Source organism: Homo sapiens, chromosome 1 (assembly GCF_000001405.40).
Source record: "Homo sapiens chromosome 1, GRCh38.p14 Primary Assembly".
Lineage (NCBI taxonomy): Eukaryota > Metazoa > Chordata > Mammalia > Primates > Hominidae > Homo > Homo sapiens.
The window spans coordinates 57,166,674-57,187,927 of NC_000001.11; the positions used below are offsets into that span (position 1 = coordinate 57,166,674).

The following is a 21,254-nucleotide window of genomic DNA, read 5'->3' on the forward strand; positions in this document are numbered from 1 at the left end:
GTGAGGAGATGAGAGGACCATTCCCAACTAGGGTTAAAGGCAAATTCAAGGCCAGAAAAGCTGTTGTAAAAGACCTTACATCTAACTCTGCACAGTAGTGACTATGCCACATTATTGGGCACCCATCATAAGTCAGGAATGGTGCCCATGAGCAGAAAAGAAACTCAAAGAGAGGCATCAGTTGTCCAAGTCAGACAGCCAGGAAGAAGGGGAGCTGCTTTCAAATGTGCCTGTCTGACTCCAAAGTTCATAGTCTCTCCACCATGCTCCACCACCTGTGCAGTTCAGGCTCAGATTTTGGAGAAATTTGAGTGCCAGCTCAGATTTCTCCATTCATATTAAGTATGTCTTTGTTCAGGAACATTACATTATTACATAGTCATAACTGCATTACAGAGAAATTCACTCTGGTTGAAGTGAGGGAAATTGAGGCTGGGAATATAAGTCTCTCACCCACTCTTTTAGGAAAAGTTATCAATAAGAAGTGAAAAATATCAAAGCAACTTGATAGTCTACAAATTAAATAATTTGGTTCCATAATCATTACAAACGAGACAGCCACAGCAAGACCACTATGGAGGGTTGATGACATGGGATATGCTCTCAGGAAGGTAAAGTCATCAAGGAATTATTTACTCCAATAGTTCTTTCTTCCATCTCACTCTTTAGTCTCTGCATGCAACTGGACACTTTACTGCCCCCTCCTTCTTAGAAGAGTCACCCCTTGTATGCTTCTACGACTATCTTGGTTCTCCCTCTTTCTTGACTCATCCTTTGCACACTGTTTCTTCTAGATCCTTAATGGAGCATTCTCTTGTGGTGTGTCCAGGGTCTTTCCTCACTTGACAATCTCACACTCTCTCAGATGCTGTCCAAGTCCACATATTTACCTCCAGCTCCTTTCCTGAGCTCTACATCCACCGTTTAATCTGCCTTCTAATGCTCACATCTGAATGTTTTACAACGGCCAGATTTAATCTGTCCAGAACTGAGATTACCAATTTCTCCTTTACCCAAACCAGTTTTTCCCACTCAAGGCTCAGTTCCACTGCCACCTCCCCTGTGTAGCCTTACCCTGCCAAGTTAAAGTGTAGTCACCGTAATCTAATAACTCATTTGTGGCAACATTAGCCACAGCACTCAGCATATTGTGCAGTGACTTGCAGGTCTGGTATACCTGTTGTAATTCTTAGCATTGTTAAATCTCCAGTGTCCAGCAAAATATCCAGCATAATGTAGGTAACATTTGTCCAGTGAATGAAGGTCACAGGCAGTCTACACTTTGTCCAGGCTAGAAACACTGGAGAGACTTTTGATTTCTTCTTTTCCTTAAAATCCCCCTAGCAGAGATTGTAAAAGTTGCAGATAATATTTCTAAAATGTCGTAACAGTCACCACACTCATATCTCCCCTAGATAATTATATGGTCTACTGGTCTACCTGTTTACAATTCCATCTTCCTCCAATCCATCTGATTGAAAATGACAAGATTACTCTTCAGAGAGTGTATTCTTACGTCATTCCATTATTCAAAATGAAATGTCAGTGGTTTCTCACTTCCCTTCAAACCCAATAAAATGAAAACTTCTGATCAATTTTTAAAAATATTTCATCACATAGTTATTGTACATCTACTAGTAAGCAACAGAGAGATGGAGGTGAACCCAATAGATAAATTCCCTGCTCTTGTGGAGATCACAGTCTTTCCCATTGGAATGACACCTCATTTCTTTATCCTTACTCCCATTTTCCCCTGCAAATGCTTTTTGCTTCAGCCAAATGAAGCCCAAGTCCCAGAGTACATCCCATATGTCTTCACATCTGTGAATTTTTCTGTACCATTTCCTCTGTCAAGAACAAGAGCTCCCCTTATCCTGTCTGCCAGGTCACCTCTGTACCTGTCACCTTCCCTTTCCCTGGTCTTGAGATTTTTTGGTTGTCTCGCCTCCCAGTTCACCCTTAAGTAATAAATGTAGTTCCTCCCCAAATGCGATTTTTCCCTTGATCTCCCTTTCACAATCTATCAATTCTCAGGCTTTACCAAATGCCCCTTTCTCTTTAGTTCATATTGAACAGTTTCTTAAGAAATAGAGAGAAATCAGCTGGGTGCAGTGATTCACACCTGTAATCTCAGCACTTTGGGAAGCCAAGGCAAGAGGATCATTTGAGGGCAGGAGTTTGAGACCAGCCTGGGCAAAATAGCGCAACTCTCTCTCTACAAAAAATTTAAAAAATTAGCAAGGCATGGTGGCATGTGCCATAGTCCCAGCTACTTAGGAGGCTGAGGCAGGAGGATCACTTAGGTACAGAAGTTTGAGGCTGCAGTGAGCTATAATCATGCCACTGCACTCCAGCCTGGGCAACAGAGTGGGACCCTGCCTCAAATAAATAAATAAGTAAATAAACATTTAAAAATAATAGAATAAAGACAAATAATTAAACTGAAATAGAAACACAAATGTTACACCATAGAAACTGATATACAAAACAACTTTTTCTAAACACAACTAAAATCTTGTCACCGACTGAGTTGTCTGACAACCTTAACAGGTAGATGTATCCCTTAGGAAGTTATAGAGAAACCCACTCTTCAACAATCTCTTATTATTATCTTTACTCATATTTACAGAACACTTGCAAGGGCCAGGATTTGTGCTAAATATTTTGCAAGCATCACCTCATTTATTTCTCTCAGTGATCCCATAATGTAGTCACTGTTATTATCTCTACTTTAAAGATGAGGAAACCAAGGCTTGAAGAGGTAAAGAGACTTGACCAAGGTTACATAGCCAACGGGAATTTATCTGACCCCAAGAAATGTCCTTTTTAACCATTAACAAGATACTGTTGACAAAGATTCTTTGCTTAGCCATGCTTTCATCAGGCCTCTGAAACTTCTCTTAGACCCTTCTGTGTACTTCCTCATAACATCCAATTGTAGCAAAAGAACCCTGCAAAAGTCAGTTTAGCCAGAACCCCCAATCCTCAATATCTGATCATCCTCAATAACTAATCAGGCTCCTTATCCTCCACCATCCCCAGGTGGTATCTGGCTTCCCTGGCCTGTCTTCAGCAAGAATCCTTTTAGGTGGTTAAGTCAGAGTCTCCTTTTCCCCTGATGTTTCCTCTTAGTAATTTTCTATTAACTGACTCCTACCCTGCTCCTCAGCCATAAATTCCTTCTTGCCCATGCTATATTTAAAGGCGAGCCCAATCTCTCTCCCCAACTGCAAGACGCCACTGCAGTTGTCCTTATATCTGTGATGATTCTGAGTAAAGTCTGCCTTACCATCTTACCATGCCTTTTTCTTTTTCTTTCTTTCTTTCTTTTTTTTTTTTTTAAGACAGAGTCTCACTCTGTCACCCAGGCTGGAGTGCAGTGGTGTGAACTCGGCTCCCTGCAACCTCTGCATCCCAGGTTCAAGCGATTCTCCTGCTTCAGCCTCCTGAGTAGCTGGGCTTACAGGTGCATGCCACCACACCTGGCTAATTTTTTCACATTTTTGGTAGAGACAAGATTTCACCATGTTTGCCAGGCTGATCTCGAACTCTTGACCCCAAGTGATCCAACTGCCTCGGCCTTCCAAAGTGCTGGGATTACAGGTGTGAGCCACCATGCCCAGCCCTTACCATGCTTTACAAGTATCATTAAATAATTTTTTCCTTTAACACTGCCTGCTTGCAATATGTGATTAATGAACATTACATACTTTGCAAAGTGTTTGGCACATAATAAGTGTTTAATAAATGTGACACATAAGAGATGGAGGGAGAGAAAAGAGGGTGACAGGTAGGCACACAAGGGCAAGGCATATTCACAAACACATTGCAAATAATCCTGGTAGCAGACCTGTCAGGTACTTACTATTAACCTGCTTTATAAATAAAGAAACTGAGATTCAGGGAGGTGCAGGGGCTTTGAGAAGGTTTCCCAGCTAGAAGCTTGGCAGGTGCAGGATTGGAATGCAGGTCTCTGAGTCCAACGTCCGTGCTCTCTGATATGGCTCCATTGTCCCTTTTCTCTCTCAACCCTATGCACACCTTATGTTCTTTTTATTCCTGAAATGTCTAGGAAAACAAAAGGGATCATTCTCTTCCCTGAAAGGCTGATACAGATGTGAGTTTTGGAGGGGTCAGGGGTTGGCTACTCTTGCTCGCGGTATCTGCGTGGAGATCACCCACAGGTGTGAGGCTTTTGATACTTCAAAAATCCAATCTCTGCTGGAATTTTGCAACCTGCAGGTGGCTTGCTCTGCAGGGTCCTGGCTCCCTCACTGCTGCCTAGAACACTTGAAGGAGTGGAGATCCCAGGTCCTTAGATCAAGGCAAAGAGTTCGATACGGCTTGGTAGAAAAGAGAAAGCTGTATTTTGTGCTGTGGCTGGAAGAATCTCCCCAGAGTCAATGGATGCAGTGCTGCCAGTTCCCAGAGTTGGAATTTCTTTACAATAAAGCTGCTGACAGTAGCAATACTGGTGCTATTGTCTAGCCAGGTGGAGGTTTTTCCATGTAACATCAACAGAAAGCAAAGCTGTATCAAATAGGGCCAAATTCAAGAAGATGCCAGTGAAGCACTAGGGCACAGCCTTGATCACAAACCCCAAAGGAATACTACTTTAAATTTTAAAACTGCTCAATTAATATGAATAAGTGAGGTGGTTTGTGTTTGCTTAGTACAATGCAAATCACTGAGGATGTTTGCAGGAAACCTGTTCTCCTTGATAACTCCTGCTGTCTCTGCAACACCTGCAAAGATCTTTCCCTGCTAGAGGAGAAACAAGTGGCCTAGAAGAAAAGAGTTCCTCTTTTCCCAACTATCTGGGACACTTTAAATAATGTTGTTTCAAAATGACAAGAATGGCGACATGTTTATATCTGCTGTTCCTTTTTGGGTTGGCCTCATGAGGCAGTTCTTACTGTCAAATCTTCCACAGCAGGATGTGTGCACAGAAGATTACTGCAGGCACTACCCAGAGGATTAAAAAAATACATATTACATATCATAGGAAAACAGGACAGCTCTTCTATGTTCTCCGTAGAGGGTCAGAAATAGGATGTGTTATACACCTAGGTTTATGTCTGCACAGTTTATGTCCTGCAGCATGCTGATTTGAATATATTTAAAGGAAACAAGAAGGAGTTATGTGGTGGGAGAAAGGTAAAGAAATAAAATTAAGTGACAGGTGTATATTAGTTTGCTAGGGCTGCAGTAATAAGGAACCATGAATTGAGTGGCTTAAAACATCAGAAATGTATTGTCTCATGGTTCTGGAGGCTAGAAGTTCAAGATCAAGTTGCCGGCAGGGTTGGGCCCTTCTAAAGACTGGGAGCGACACTGTTTCATGCCTCTCCCCTAGCTTCTGATGGGTAGCTGGCAATCTTGGCATCTTCTGGCTTGTAGACACATTATCCTGATCTCTGCTATTATCTTCACATGAAGTTCTCATGATGTTCTCCCTGTGTGTCTATCTGTGTGTCCAAATTTCACCTATTTATGAGGACACCAGTCATAGTGAAGTCACTATGACCTCGTCTTAACTCATTAAATTTGCAATGTTCTATTTCCAAATAAGGTCACATTCTGAGGTACAGGGAGTTAGGACTTCAACATATGAATGAGGACTGGGGGGTAGCACAATGCAACCCATGCCACAGGTGCTTTATTCATGTTAGCTCATTTAATCTACAAAACAATTCCATAAGAAAGAAGACCATGTTTCTCTTCTTAGTGATAAAGAAGTGGAAGCTCAGTAAGGTGAAATGATTTGGCCAAATGGCATTGTCTTAGTCTATTTGCATTGCTATGAAGAAATGTCTGAGGCTGGGTAATTTATAAGGAAAAGAGGTTTATTTGGCTCATGGTTCTGCAGGCTGTAGATAGACTGAAGCATAGACAGCATCTGTTTTCTGGTGAGAGCCTTGAGCTTCTTCTACACATGGTGTAAGGTGAGGGAGGGCCAGCGTGTTCAGAGATCACATGATGAGAAAGAAAGGAAGCGATCAGGATTGGGAGGTGCCAGGCTCTTTTTAACAACCAGCTCTCTTGGGAACTAATGGAATGAGAACTCATTACCACAAGGACAGTATGAAGCCATTCTCAAGGAATCTGCCCCATGACCCAAACATCTCCCATTAGGCCCCACCTCCAACACTGGGGATCAACTTTCAACAGGAGATTTGGAGGGGTCAAACATCCAAGTTATAGCATGCATAGACAGCAAGGATGGAGCTAACATTTCAGCCTGTATTTAATCACCCAGTCCATGCCCTTTCCACTACATACTGCTAACCTGAACTATCAAGGCCATAGTAAAATGCTTGGGTGCCTAGTCTACCTGTTGCCACTGACAACAATTATGAAGTATTAGTCCTTCATAATATAAAGGTTCTTCTGAAGCTCCAAGCATCAGTAAAGCAGGACTGTATGTCACAGGTATAGTGATCAGAGGTGCCACACCCTGGGTACCAGCTACTTACCCCCAAAGCAGTGTGAATACCAAGTAAGGATGGTATTAAAGCCAGCAACAGCTTCCAGTTCAAGAGATTCTAAATGCCAGAGAAAGAAGCAGATGAGGGAGAAAAATGGAGGTTGAGCATCCCTAATCCAAAATGTTCCAAAATCTGAAACTCTTTGCACACCAACATGACATCACAAGTGGAAAATTCCACATCTGAACTCATGTGATGGGTCGTAGTCAAAACATAGTCAAAACTTGGTTTCATGCACAAAATTATTAAAAATATGGTATAATATTATCCTCAGGCTATGTGTGTAAGTTATTATATGAAACATAAATTTCATGTTTAGACTTGGGTGCCAGTCACAAAATATCTCCTATGTATATGCAAATATTCCAAAATCCAAAAACATCTGAAACCCGAAACACTGCTAGTCCCAAGTATTTTAGATAAGGGATACTCAACCTTTACATTCTACAGCTAGCACTAGAGAGCTTTCTTAAATTAAGGCAAGCTTAATCGGGAAACAAAAATGGTCTTTCTCTCAAACATTTCATATAAGACATTTTCTTTTGTTACTTGGCATAGGGCCCAAATAGCATTTCACCTTTTAGATATGGTTTAGATAAAGAGGATTTGATTCTTATTAACAGAGTTCCCAGCAATTAGAGAGTACATTTTTTTTTTCACCAAGAAGGAAAAATTACAATAATTTCATTCCTTGCAGGGGGCTATGGAGTTCTTAATTGTTTGATTTGTAAGTCTGAAATTTCATGGGATTTCCCAATTAAATATCTAATTTATCTTTTATATTTAAAATGAACAAGGTATGATCACTGCCCTTATGAAGTCCCTGGATTGGAATTATGCTTGGTTACTTCTGCAAGCATCCTCTTGCCTGGCAGGAAACAGCTACATGAAATTTGATAAACTGATCTTAGCTAGAAGCAGGATAGAAGGAAACAAAAGGAAGGAAATTCCTAGAGTGGGAGCTGGAGAAAACTGGTCTGATTTAGAACTTCTTGCCCCACAATTCCTATCAGTATTCCATCACTGGCCTTCCAGACTTGCTATCTGTATTGGTATTTCATGACTTACCCCACCCTCTCTACAACCATTCCATAATATCTGCTCTGGGCATTCCAATACCAGATACAGACCTGGCCCAGGATTGTCCTGCTGTCCCCTAGAAGTTATGCCAATCCTTGACTGCAATAAATTTAAATGCATTTTCAGAAGGACTACCAGGTGCTAAGCAATATAGAAAAGAGAACAAAATGATTATAATATGCCCTTTATTCCCAGCAGGCTCATAATCTAGTAGAAAAACTAGAGATTTAAACCAATCATAACAATCCAACAATAATGTATTGATTGGATTGACAGGGTGAAACAAGAAGAACAGATTAAGTTATAATTTTCTGAGATCCTGCTTTGTACTCATCACTTTTTAAAATACCAGTCACTTTATTTATATGCTTTACTTTACTGCCTTGAGTCCTCTGAACAGCTCTGTAGGTGAAGTACAGGAGAAGGTCTGTTAGGCTCACCACTGCTTTGGATTGACCCCCACTCTTCTTTCTCACTATCTGATGCTGGCTCTACTCCGAACAGGAATGCCAGGAAGGCTACTTGATTTCTGTTTCAATCAAAAACCTATGTTAGACGCTTACTAAGAATCTCATACACTTCTGTTCCCAAATTTGTTTATGATAATTGTACTAGTTGGGATAGTATATAATTAGTTAGGTATGTTGTAAGTCAGGGAAACATGAGTACAGAAATAAAGGAAGTTATTTCTATGAAAAATGAAGTTCAAGTTCAATATTTAAAAATAATTTTAAAAGGGTAACTTGTTAAAACAAAATGCTACTCTCCATGACTCCCCCAACAGAGCACACGGACTCAGAAGGACGCGACATTTTGGTTACTTTCCAAGTGCTTTAAGATCCTTACTCCACTTTAAAGAAATCAAAACTGGAAATCAAAGAATATATGTTTTATGCTTATACACTTCATTACCAAGAGGCAGCACTCCAATTAGCAAACTGTATTCCAATGTCAAGAAAAGTCCTTATGCTAACTTGTGATAAAAAGATCTATAACTGGATGTACATTTATATTTCCAGTTGAAATAAAATTTAAAGAAAGGCAGGGTTTTTTTTTATTATTTCAGACTTTAAATTTTTTTTTTTTTTTTGAGTACCTGACAAACTACAGGTTCCAATCTTCTCTGATAAGTGCTATTAGCAGGAAGATTTCTCTGTTGGGTTAACATACTATCAGCTAAGGAACTCTGGGGGAGCCTTCCTGCAAAGTAGGTCAATTCTTTGCCATATAATTCTGATTATGTCAAGGAATTTATTCATGAGTTTTCTAATTCAACCCACTTCAAATAGAGCCGTATTTATATAACCACAAAAAATTACATCCAAATTACAACTATAGGATGTAGCTCCTTGGTGAACACTAGGAAAATATTAACCATTTACATGGCGTATCTGCTCTGAAATAATAGGGCTATAAAATAGCATAACAATGGCTAAACTTGGAGACTTTCTCAGAAAGATAACAGTCCTCTGGTACAAATTCCAGATGATTCAGGTGCTTGCTATCTGCTAACAGAATTCTTATGCTATTGGACAATGCAGAGCGTACCAGGTACTGGGCGCTTTGCTAAAAACCCATCAAAATGGCAGCCCCAGTAAAGCCACATTTTCAGGAAAGGCAGTACTTCCAGGCTGATATTCTGAGTAGACTGGATTTTCCCGTTTGATTTTTTCTCTCTGGTTAAAAGCATTATAGCATAGCAGTTTATTACCACATAGACAGACCTGGGTTCAAATGCAGACTTTGTTATATTATAGGTGTGTAATTTTAAGTTATTGACCCTTTCTAAAGCAAAGCTACACCATCCATAGTGTGGCATAATAAGAGGTACTTCATGGGACTGCTGCAAGGGTCAAACAAGAGGCTGTATATTAGGATGGGGGTATTCTCAGCTTCCCTCAGTGGTCCTTTATGACATTTTAGTTTCAGCATTAACCAATGTTATAGAATATCCTTCTGTATTGTATTAGTCCGTTTTCATGCTGCTGATAAAGACACACCCAAGACTGGGCAATTTACAATTGAAAGAGGTTTATTGCACTTATAGTTCCACCTGACTGGGGAGGCCTCACAGTCATGATGGAAGGTGGAAGGCACATCTCACATGGCAGCCAACAAGATGGCTTGTGCAGGGAAACCCCCGTTTTTAAAACCATCATATCTCATGAGACTCATTCACTATCAAGAGAACAGCTCATGAAAGACCCGCCCCCCACAATTCAATCACCTCCCACCAGGTTCCTCCCATGACACATGGGAATTGTGGGAGTTACAATTCAAGATGAGATTTGGGTGGGGACACAGCCAAACTGAATCATATATTAAACGAAAACCCCTCCACCATAATCTGAATCTTGTTTTAGATGATTATATTCTTTTCTTGGTACATGATATGTAAAATCTGTATTACTAGGACAATTTGGCTGATTTGCTTCACTAACATTGGGAGGGATTGAATGCTAAAGGTCTAGTAAAATCTGGATCCTTCTGGTTATGGGCAAAGATTTGCAAGCAAACTCACCTGGAGAAGAGAGGAGACCTTCTGGGGGCAAACATCTCCAAGTAATAAGGTCACAGGGGCAGGATGAGGAAGCGGTTTATCTATCTTTCTAATATGAACTTTGTCCATGGAGAATAGCAGAAAATGCCACCCAAAAAAGAACACTTTGGCATAAGGATTATTTTGAGCTAAAGGAAGAAGCAGATAAAAAAAAGAAGCAGCAGCAGATATAAAAAAAAAAAAAAAAAAAAGCCCTCAGACTACCCACATTTGCCTAAAAGCGGGACATAAATTTGTAAATGTGTCCTCCCCTCTACCCACCAGCAGGGACAGAAGTCCATCACCAAGACAACTTAGCCCTAAGATCACTCCAAAGGAATCTACATAGCTGACTTTATCAACCAGCACTTACCTTCTATTAATTTCCCTATATATTTAACTTTCTGTGATTTGCTGCCCTAGAAAATCAGTCCTTTTCCCTTATCTTGTCACTATTCTAAAATTTTATTGTTCTTTGTTAAGATGTTATATACATACACCCAAGTTCTAACCACCCCTTTGAGTCAGTCATCTTTGAGCACTCCCATGTTGTGTAGGATAAACAGGTTAATAAACTTGCATTTGCTTTTCTCTTGTTAATCTGTCTTTTGTCAGCCTAATTTTCCAGGCTCCAACCTGAGAAACTAGGAGGGTAGAGGGAAAAAAAGATGTTTTTCCTCCCCTATATTTACAATGTCCACATAGAATTAGGTAGTAGACATCCAGGCACTGAAGCCATAATAAAAGCTCCCATGACTCTGCAAACCAAAGCAGTCTTTGCCTTTTCTCTTATTTCACTCAAGAACTCTAAAGCGCATGGCCATGGAAAAGGACACTAGTAATAAGTTACGGAAACTACTCAGTCCAGTATCTGGGCAGAATCACTATTCCATATAAGGTAAGTGGAGGATTATCATCATTCTTATTTTTATTTTGTTTTGGTTTGGTTTTTCACCTTCTTTTCCTAATCTGATCAAAGTACAGGCCATTTCTAGAATTCTTTTTCCAAAAGTTCTTCACCTCCAAAGCAATAAAATATAAGCTATATCAGATCTTTGGATGCCACAGAGTCTATACTCTTCTAAAATCACAATATAGGCATAAAGTAAACTTTTGGTATTTGATGTCTCTTGACTATTCAGTTACTGACTTTGTCCCTTTGTCCTCCCTTCAGGTTTTGTGTGTTTTATGGCATGTTTATAAAAACCTGAGAATATAGTTTTCTCATCTGTAAAATGGGGCTATGACTATTTGCCTTACAACAGTATTACAGGGGCAGATATAGCCATGGGCGAAAACCATATAAAAGTTCAAAAGTACCAAGTATTGATAAGGGTAGGAACCAACATTAACTCACTGTTTGTAAGATTAGAAATGGAAATAATCACTCTGGGAATATTGGTAATATATAATAAAGCTGAAAATATAGATACCCTACTTAAAGCTAAATATACATACTTCCTCTGACCCAGCAATTCCATCCTCCATAATTGCAAGCTTATGTACACCAAGATATATGCAAAAAAAAAAAAAATGGTCATAGCATAGAACTTCAAACCCAGATGTTATAGAATGGAGTTTTAAAATTGTAGCATATTCATATAATGGTTACTAAATCACAATAAAAATAAGTGAACTATGAATATATGGAACAGTGTGGATAATTCATAGATATGTAAGTTGTATAAAAGGAAATTAGGAAAATAGAATATGCATTGTGCCAGCATTTACATGAAATTTGAAATCTGATTAACGAAACTATTCATGAATTTATTTATTTATGGATAAAACTATAGAGAAAAGCAAGGAAGTATTATGAAAGACAGGAGAGTTTCTGTTAGAGGGGAAGAAGTAATTATGATTGGGAAGAGACATGGGGAAAATCCAGGCTGCTGGTTATGTTATAATGCCTTGATGTGGGTAGGTGTTTTATCTGTGTTCATTTATAATTACTCCGAGGTTAACCATTTATGTTTTATTCAATTTCCTATTCTTCTATCTGTATTATAAAATAAATGAAAAAAATATACAATCACATATATAATGCACCTAAGATAGTGTGTGGTAGCTATTAGGTGCTTTAAAAAAAAAGGATAGCAATTCCCACCCCCATCGCCACCTCCTGGAGAATAAAAGATAGGTGAAAATGATATGCAAAATACCATATTTTAAAGGTTTTAACTAAAAGCAATGGACTCACTTAGGTTGCTTTTCATATAGGAGAAGTAAAATGTATTTATTTGGGAAGGAGACTCTCAGGGAATCCACTACTTGAGGAAATTCAACATGAGAGTCATCAGCAGATGTCAAACAGACCTTCAACCTCATTTAGAAATCTTGAAATTCAATATTCAGACTCATGCAGCAAATGGGCACATGGGGTTTGGGGGGGATTAGGAAAGAGGTCTACACACCCTATTTAATGATGTAGAGCTGCTCTTCCAGGCAGTGGTGCTCAAAGAGGCCCCCACTGCTTGTATTTAAATGAGATTCTGGCACAGCAGCGAGGTGAATGGTGGATCAACGCCTAAAGCAGCAATCTACTAAACATCTCCGTGACTGGGGAAACCCCAAAGGGCTACATCCAAACCTTCGTACCTGCAGCCATTAATGACTTCTAGAGGAGCAGAGCTCAGGGAGGGACAACAATAGGTGAGAAGTCAATTTAATTTTCATTCCCTGCCAGACCATATTCTTAACATAACCCAATGAGAATTTATGTCAGATGCACATTGTATATCTGTCCCTGATTTAAATGGCAGATCTCGTCTCCATTTCAGATTCATTCTTGGGCCTTTAGCTGCATTTATTGAAAAGTGGCTGTATTCACTATGAACCAATTTTTCCCTTGGGTTTTATTACTGAAATCATCAAAATAAATCACCTAGAATGCTCCATCCTACCTGGTTTGAAAGCCATTGGGGAAACGGTGAAATTCTTTTTTTAAAAAAATACATACTAGAAACACGTTTGTGCACCTGAGACAATGATTAGCTATTGAATTGAAATTGCTTTACATGTCATAAGGAAAAGTACTATTTAAACAAGAGTAGCATTGGAACAGACGGTGGACATCAATCCTTAGGATATTAACCTGTGAACCAGAGGATTACAATAGCATGCCAATTTTCACAAACTAGTTCTGGTGTTTGGAATTAGTCTTCCTTTTCTATGTTCTTTTTGTCCTAGTTTTTCCGGGATGAAAAAAAGGAAAGAAAAATAAAGGCTACCCTGCAAGAGCCCCCTTTGTTAACACACACTGTTTGCATCCTGGCTCAAGTGTGAATCCTCCTACCAAGCTGTAAATCTTCACTCCTGCTTTTCTACAGAATCCAAGAACAACTTTGTTTGCAAACTTGCTTTGGAAATGGTAAGGCCAGCCTTAGGTGAGAGGACACAGAAAAGGAGAAGGGGGGATCCTCACTGAGTCTGCCCTGTGACCCCTAAACTGCACCTTCCCCTTTCCCCCAGCCAAAGACCTTCTAACTTGCTTTTCTCCAATAGTTTTAATGCAGACTGTTTTGGCTAGTAACAGTTTTCAAATCACACCACTTCCCAATTCTGTTATATCCCTAGGAGTATATGCTCTAAAATTTAAAATGGCTGCACTCATCACATTGTTAATGTTTAATGTTTTCATGTGTCAGCAACCCAGGACTTTTTGCTTTTCTGCTGAAAGCAAAGACTTCAAACTAAAAAAGCAGAGCTCTGATGGAGAGGTTTCAAGACTTGCGGATGGGGGGTAAAGATTTTCTGAAGTAATTTTAAGGGGCCTCTGAAATCATCTGGCCTAAGATAGTCTTCTACTAGCTTTGTTCCTAGATAACAATGACAAAATATGTTACTTAGCTTCCTAGATACACTTCCACTGAAATGCAAATAAAAGGACTCCCCCCCACAACAAACACACACACACACTTCTCCTGAGTACCCACAACCTTCCGTAATGACCCAGATTTACTCCCATGGAAAAACAAAAGCTGGCCCTACTCTCTGCATGGCTCACTAAGGGTCATATTTTAATATTCAGTTCAAATGCCAACTCCTCTTAACACCTCCTGTCTCCTCTACCCCAGTCTCCTGTAGAAGAAGTAACCTTTCTTTTGCTCTTTCATTGGCATGGTCATAGCACTTGGTGCATTCTTTTCCCATAGTGGTGATGCCCAAACCTACTTGCCCACATAAATCTATGTGTAAGGCTCCTGATTTGTGGCAAATGCTACTCACTACAGCTAATAGCTACCATCATGTGTGTGGGCATCTTTATCTCTGTCCGCTGCTCAAATGCCAAATGTCTGACCCTATCTCAGTGACCACTGTCTTTCCAGAGCATGTAACCCGGTGCTATGCATGTAGTAGACGCTTGATAAAAGTGGAAGGGAAAAGAAGTGATGTTCAGAAAACAAATAGCAGCTGTAGGGAAAGGAATCCAGTGGTGTAAATAAAATGTCCCACAGTCCAGGTTTCAGTAGAGTCTCTACAGAAGAAAGGCTTGCTGTAAAAATGAGGACAGTGAGGCCTCGGACTTGACGGTCCTAAGAGTTGCCTTCAAAACTGAAATTTAAGTCCTCCAAAGGTAAGATTCTAGCAGCCTGTCTGCTTTACACAGACCTGATAATCAATGAGACTTCTGAGAAGCAGCTGATCGATGCACTTCACAACACTATCATCGAACACTTATCTTGAAAATGCCCATGACAATCTATTACACAACCTAATTGAAGGAATGGATTACATGTTTCCTTATCTCTTTACCCAAAAACTGCAAACAGGGAATGGAAATACTGTACAAGGAATGCAATATGCAATCTCCCAAATCAACTAGCTCAAGGAAATTCTGCTGGCTGTGTTAAAATTATTTCCCCTTATGATTTGCTTTATTAATTGAATATGTGCATTGCTGCCTAAAATTAAGTACAAATGTGTATGCAAGCAGGAATAAGGAAGTCTGGCAAGGGCTTTGAAGACAGGCAAATGTGAATTTGAATCCCAGCTAAGCCCCTTCCTAGCTGTGGAGTATAACTTTAAATATCAAATGGAGATATGCCTTATTAGGGTTGTCATAAAAAGTAAATGTTACATTGCAAGTGAAGTTTTTTGTTTTGTTTGTTTTGTTTTGTTTTGAGATGGAGTCTCGCTCTGTCACCCAGGCTGCAGTGCAGTGGTGCCATCTCGGCTTACTGCAACCTCTGCCTCCTGGGTTCAAGTGATACTCCTGCCTCAGCCTCCCGAGTAGCTGGGACTACAGGTGCATGCCACCACGCCCAGCTGATTTTTTGTATTTTTAATAGAGACGGGGTTTCACCGTGTTAGCCAGGATAGTCTCGATCTCCTGACCTTGTGATCTGCCCGCCTTGGCCTCCCAAATTGTTGGGATTACAGGTGTGAGCCACCGCGTCCAGCTGCAAGTCAAGTATTCAACACACTGACAGGCACTCAAGTACTTGAGGAATTGTAGTAATAGAGGTTCAAACATTTACAGAACCCCCAACAATAGCAGCTATCAATTACTAGTGTCCCAGGTACTTGTATGTTATCAGTAATGCTCATAATAAATCTCTTGAACATTGAAGGAATTATAATGCTCCATGTGCAGGTAAAAATATTGAGGCCCAGTCAGGTGGATCTGGCTGAAGCTGCAGAATTGGAAACTAGCAGATACGGGGCTAGAGCCCACAACTGCCTGTGCACTCTACATTGTATCACAAGGCCCCTTACTGTTTACATACTAGGCAGGAACTGTGCTGTATTCTTGGGATACCAGGAGGAAAGACTTATCTCCTACCCTAGAGAACCTCAATTTCTAATGGGGGCACTAGCAGTGAAAAGACAGTGTTAAGAGATAGTATAATGTAACTATAAAACGTATATTAGTTTCACAGTGGAGGTGAGCACAGGCCAGTCTCGGGGTAAGGAAAGGTGTTCTGGAGGCAGGGGGACAGCTGAGATGATTCTTATAGGACCAGTTGAAATTATCTTGGGAAAGAATGCAGAAATGAGCATTTCAGAGAGAGAACCTTGAGCCCAGGTACAGAGGTAGAGGATAGAATAGTATATCCAGAGTCCAGGGCTGTGCTGTCTAATATGTGAGACACTAGTACATATGGCTATTTAATTTTAAATTAACTAAAATAATTAACTAAAAATTTTAAATTGATTGTTCAGTCACACCAGCCTCATTTTAACTGCTCAATAGGCACGCATGGCTGGTGGCTGCCACACTGGATAGCACTGATACATAGAAGTTCTGTCGTAGATGATAGAACATTCCCATCATCACAGAAAGTCCTTGTGGACAGCACTGGGGGTATTTAACCTGAGATGATAAAATGTGAAATTTTAGAATACAAACAGAAGAGAATGAAGAGGGAGTGAGGGGCCTGATTATGGAGAGCCTGAAACTGACGGGGAACTGCCGAGCATTCTAAACACAAGGGTGAGGTGAATGGGTCTGGATTTTAGAAAAGTCTTTCAGACCTCAGGTTGGAGACCATATCACAAGGCAGAGAAAGGCTTAGATACTACTGGAGGTAAAGACAGTTACACTGACACAAAACCCTGTAGAGATGGAGAGGGAGGAACACTGGAGAAATACAGAGACAATGAAAGCAGAGAAGCAATATTGTGTGCAATGAATGAGGAAAGAAGCAACAGTTGCCACGATTATGGGTTGAGAAAATGCATGTGGTTCCATGTCCTGGGCTATGAAACAGAGAGGGAAGGAGGTGATTTGAAAGAGGGTAGGAGGGTTGATGAGTCCATTCCTGGGCATGTTGATCCTTGTCCCATGTCACATTCTGATGGAGATGTCCATGAGGAAACTGGATGCAGGAATCCCAAGATGATACTTTCAAACTATGGTTGTTCCTAATAACTTGCCAGTTACACATTAGCTCATCTGGAACAATAAACCTATGCACCAAGCACTCCACTATATGGGAAAGTAATTTTTAAAATGAGGACAAAACTTCCTCTCCTCAGAGGACTCACAATTTCCAGGAGAGATAGGCAGTACTCTATATCATATTACAGCTATACCACAATTAAGAATATAAGAAAAGATCAACTAAGGGCTGGGTGAATGAAGACAAGGATGGGAAAGGAAGAATCATGGAAGTTTTCTGGAGGAGACACCATTAGCTCAAGCCAGAAAAGGACATAGAGGATATCAGTAGACAAGATTGATGTTGGGGAGGGGACTTAGCTAATAACAGATCAATTTTTCTAACTGGTGAGCTATAAAGCCACTGCTCTCCACTTTTTCTTACCATTATTAAAGAAATCAACAACACGACTTTTCCAAAAAGAATTAAGAGCCCATTATATGAATAGAGGTAAAGGGAGTCACAGAAATCCTGCTGCCCCACATCCAGGCACCCTGTTAACAGGAGGGTCTTGGTACTAAAGAAGCTAGTACCCTCCACAAGAATGTGGGTGAAAGCCCTTTGTGTACCACAGGTGTTTCAGGCCAGAGCAAACTACAATAATCTGATTCAGGTCAAAGTGTATAATACATTTAGGAGAAAAAGGATTCTTTTAATTAGATGGGAGAGAAAGCAGATTAGTGGTTACGCTGCATCCGTTCTTGCCCTTCTCAGATTCATTCTTCTCCCCTCTGCAGCTGGCACATCATCTTGAAGTGCATACCTGATCATGCTACTCCCGTGCCAACCCTGTCCTCTGTTTAAAAATCTATCTGTGGCTTCCCATAGGATAAAGCCACAAATCCTTAACCTGGCAAACCCTCATTATCACAGATTTCACAGTAAAGAATGCAAGGTTACCAAAAATAAGAACTGCTGGGCCAGCTGATTCTACACGGTGACGACATTTCCATTTCTCCCCACCTATTCTGAAGCCTTCCTCTCTCATACATGGTTTATGCTCCAATCCCACCAAATCACACCTGGATCATGTACTCCACAAACCCTGTGCTCCTGGGTGTGCTTTCAGTGCCTGGCACCACACAGCAACACACACACAGAGATACACACTCACTCCTGTGCCCATAAAAGTCCCATAGACGCTTTTTCATGATGCATTTCAAACACTGCCTAGTCAAGGATGGCTTCTCCCCAACTCAACCAGTTATGCTCTCACCCACTGAACTCCAGGAGTGTAGCGATCCAACAAATATAACTGAGCACATGGACCCCGCAGGCATCCATGGCACAGAGATGGACAAACAGGGATCACAACATTCGTAAACTCACTGACTCTCATCCTGAGATTGTCCTGGCATTGCAACCCACCCCAGGATCCTGCCATCCTGATCTTCTTGAGACCACCAACCTCTTGCTCACCCCTGGGTCTTTGATCATCCTCCTCCCCTGCTCCAAACATGCTTCCCCCTCTCTGTGCCAGGCGAACTCCCTGAGATGGCATTTCTTCAGGGAAGTCTTCTGCAATTCTGCACAGTCCCATCACCACTCCTACCCCTACCATGTTAGGAACTTCCTTTGTTATTCCATAGTACCCTGGGCATTCTCTCTCCTGGAACTTATGATGCCACCAGGTAACAGAAAGTCTGGAGGCCTGAAGACCAGTTACAACAAGTTGGTAATGGTGGCAAAGAATAGAGGAGGACAGAATTTGCAGATTGTTAAGTGTACATGCTTCTGGCTTGAATACCTGGGCAAAGAGAAGGGAGCATTTAGGGGACAGAGTCTGAGAGACAATGCAAGATGTTCAAGAGTTAGAAGGAGGGAGAAAAAGAGAGAGGCAGGAATCCTAGGCAACCAAGACACAAGAATGGGACAAACCTCACAGGCAACCTCACGCATAGAGGGCCCTTTAGGAAATAATCCCCGTTAAATCTTCAAACAGCCTTGAGAAGTAAAAAGGGACATCCTCTTGGTAGCACCTCACACTCAGCAGTATTAGCGCAGATGGAAGGTGGTACTCAGACACTGAACTAACAATGCTGTCTCCGAAGTAAGAAATTCCAAATTCATAATAATGTTTCTGGTTTTTTGTTTTTGGTCTTTTTTTCCAGAGAGTGAGGTAAGTTTTCCAGTGTCTGACAGCTAGGAAGTACCAGGACACTGTATCTCAAAGACTCCAAGTTGAGACCTTTCCTGTGTGCCACAATGCCGGAACAAACTCCCTCCCCGAGTACGAGATTCCAGAAGCAGAACCGTGGACAATTTTTAAACTCAGAAAGCCTCCTGTGGAGTTGGGACTCACAGCTCACAGCCACGAAATCACTGTCCATTAACTGTTTGGTTTCCTGAGAGCAGAGATTAGGGATCCTCAGTCTTGCCTGTATATCAATACCACCTGGGACCACTCAGACCAGGTGAATCAATGTCCCTGCAGGTTGGGCCCAGGTAATGGTTTATTACGTGTTCTATGTAAGTTTAGGGTATAACCAAGTGGTTAGAATTACTAACTAAATCAAACCTCTTTACTGACCAATTACATTAGAATGTAAATTCTCTCCAATATGTATCCGTGTTTCTCCAAAAACAGCCCCAGCTCTCAAGTCCAGGATTAGTATGGGAAAAACCAACTCACAAAAACCCACATGTTGTGTCCAGCTCTCCACCACTTTGACACAAGCACCATCCCCAATCGATCAGTGTGAGGTGTGCTTATTTATTCTCACTTCTCTGGCAGATAAGGATTATAGGGATATAAAAAGCAGAGTGTGCTATAAAACATTATTTATTAGTGGGCCAATGGATCTTCATGTGAATCAGGTTTTACAGGTTCCATTTTCCATTGAAACAATGGAATGTTACATGGCTAATAATAAGGCACAGGCCTTGATTAAATACCCAATCCATAATTCAATAAAGAGGTTGTGCTGACATAATCCGCAAAGAGGGACCCTTATGAATATCCAACTAAGGCCAAAACCTGAAATGCACGCGTCAGCATTTACCCCACAGAGGCATATTATTTGTAAAGTGTGCAAAACATTTTTCTTCCAGTACCCACTTCAAGAATTTTATAATTAGCAAAGTTTCATTAGCAGAATAAGACACTTTGTATTCCAAGTGATGGCTTGTCTGGAGTGTTAGGATGCTTTGCTGGGAAATTAACTATTCTGTGTCAATTTCTTAAGGAATAATTATGCTCTGTAACTGAATAACAGACTGGCAACTGGGGAGGTCTTGAAAATTCCTAGAAGCTCAGCTCCAGGCTAATTCATTTCTATTTTGTCAATTTTTGTCATTTCTATTTTGTCAATTGACTGGACTGTCAATTTTTTATGGTTATTGTCCCCCCAAAAAGATGGGATCTAAAAGATACCAGGAGGTAAAGTTTCTGCTTTTTAAAGTAGTACTAAAACTTCATATTGCACATAAAATTCTAAAACACACACATACTTCAAATGAAGTACATACCTTCTGTGATTCCCTAGGCCAATTTGTTTTTTATAAACACCTTGAATCTTAAAAATGTGTTGTTGTCTTTTTTTCCTTTGACCACTAGGAAGCTCGGATCCAAATCTGTAACTCACACCAAACAACCAATAGGATCTCATTGCATGATTTTTTCTATTACCTATTTCCTTGCTTCCATCTGAGTTATCTAACAACATTCCTTATTATGTAGACATCTTTATAAATCTCCTCACATCATCTATGTAACAAGGTACAGTATAAAAAAGCACAGTATCTTACTATAAAGTACCACAGTCTACACAGCAATTTGCGTATGATTCTGGAAAGTGTATATACCAAAGATGTAAATGTGCTATGGGCTCCTGGAATAGGTAAATGAATACAGAACTGCCTAAAAATCTGGGGCAGGTGGCTACTGCTCTGACACTGCACTTCCCTTGGGGCTGACAAAGTCCTCCTGCATTTGCTATCTTGTTCTTTGACGTTTCCAAGGTAAGAATTTGAAAATACATGACACTTTTATATAAATGTTCTTATCTACACTTTAAAACTGGGGCTAAAAAGAGGTTAAGAAACTTGCCAACAACGACTTGTGTCATAAATCGTGAAGCTGGGATTCTACTCAAAGTATTTTGTATGCAGGTAAGTTCTCAACCATTCAGCTAATCCCAGTTTGTCTCAGCGCTGATTGAGTCACTGAAAGAGAGAGAGAGAGAGAGACTCCCACAAAAAGAGAGATCCCCCACAAAGACCCACAAGGAGAGAGAGACCCCGCAAGGAGGGAGGAGAGGAGAA

The 21,254-nt window shown here is 40.5% G+C and overlaps 1 protein-coding gene and 1 long non-coding RNA gene across 13 annotated transcripts in view; one reads left to right on the plus strand and one right to left on the minus strand.

The window, feature by feature from the left end:
- Positions 1–21,254, minus strand: part of DAB1 (DAB adaptor protein 1) — a 1,551,949-nt gene that overhangs the window by 171,896 nt on the left and 1,358,799 nt on the right. The window lies entirely within an intron of this gene.
- LOC105378747 (uncharacterized) lies at positions 3,310–19,546 on the plus strand. 2 transcript variants are annotated; one of them, XR_007066125.1, is made up of 4 exons: positions 3,310–5,754; positions 10,911–11,005; positions 13,297–13,477; positions 19,103–19,546. It is a non-coding gene; the product is annotated as an uncharacterized LOC105378747 (long non-coding RNA). The 2 variants fall into 2 exon arrangements; XR_007066126.1 differs by having other exon boundaries at positions 5,589–5,654.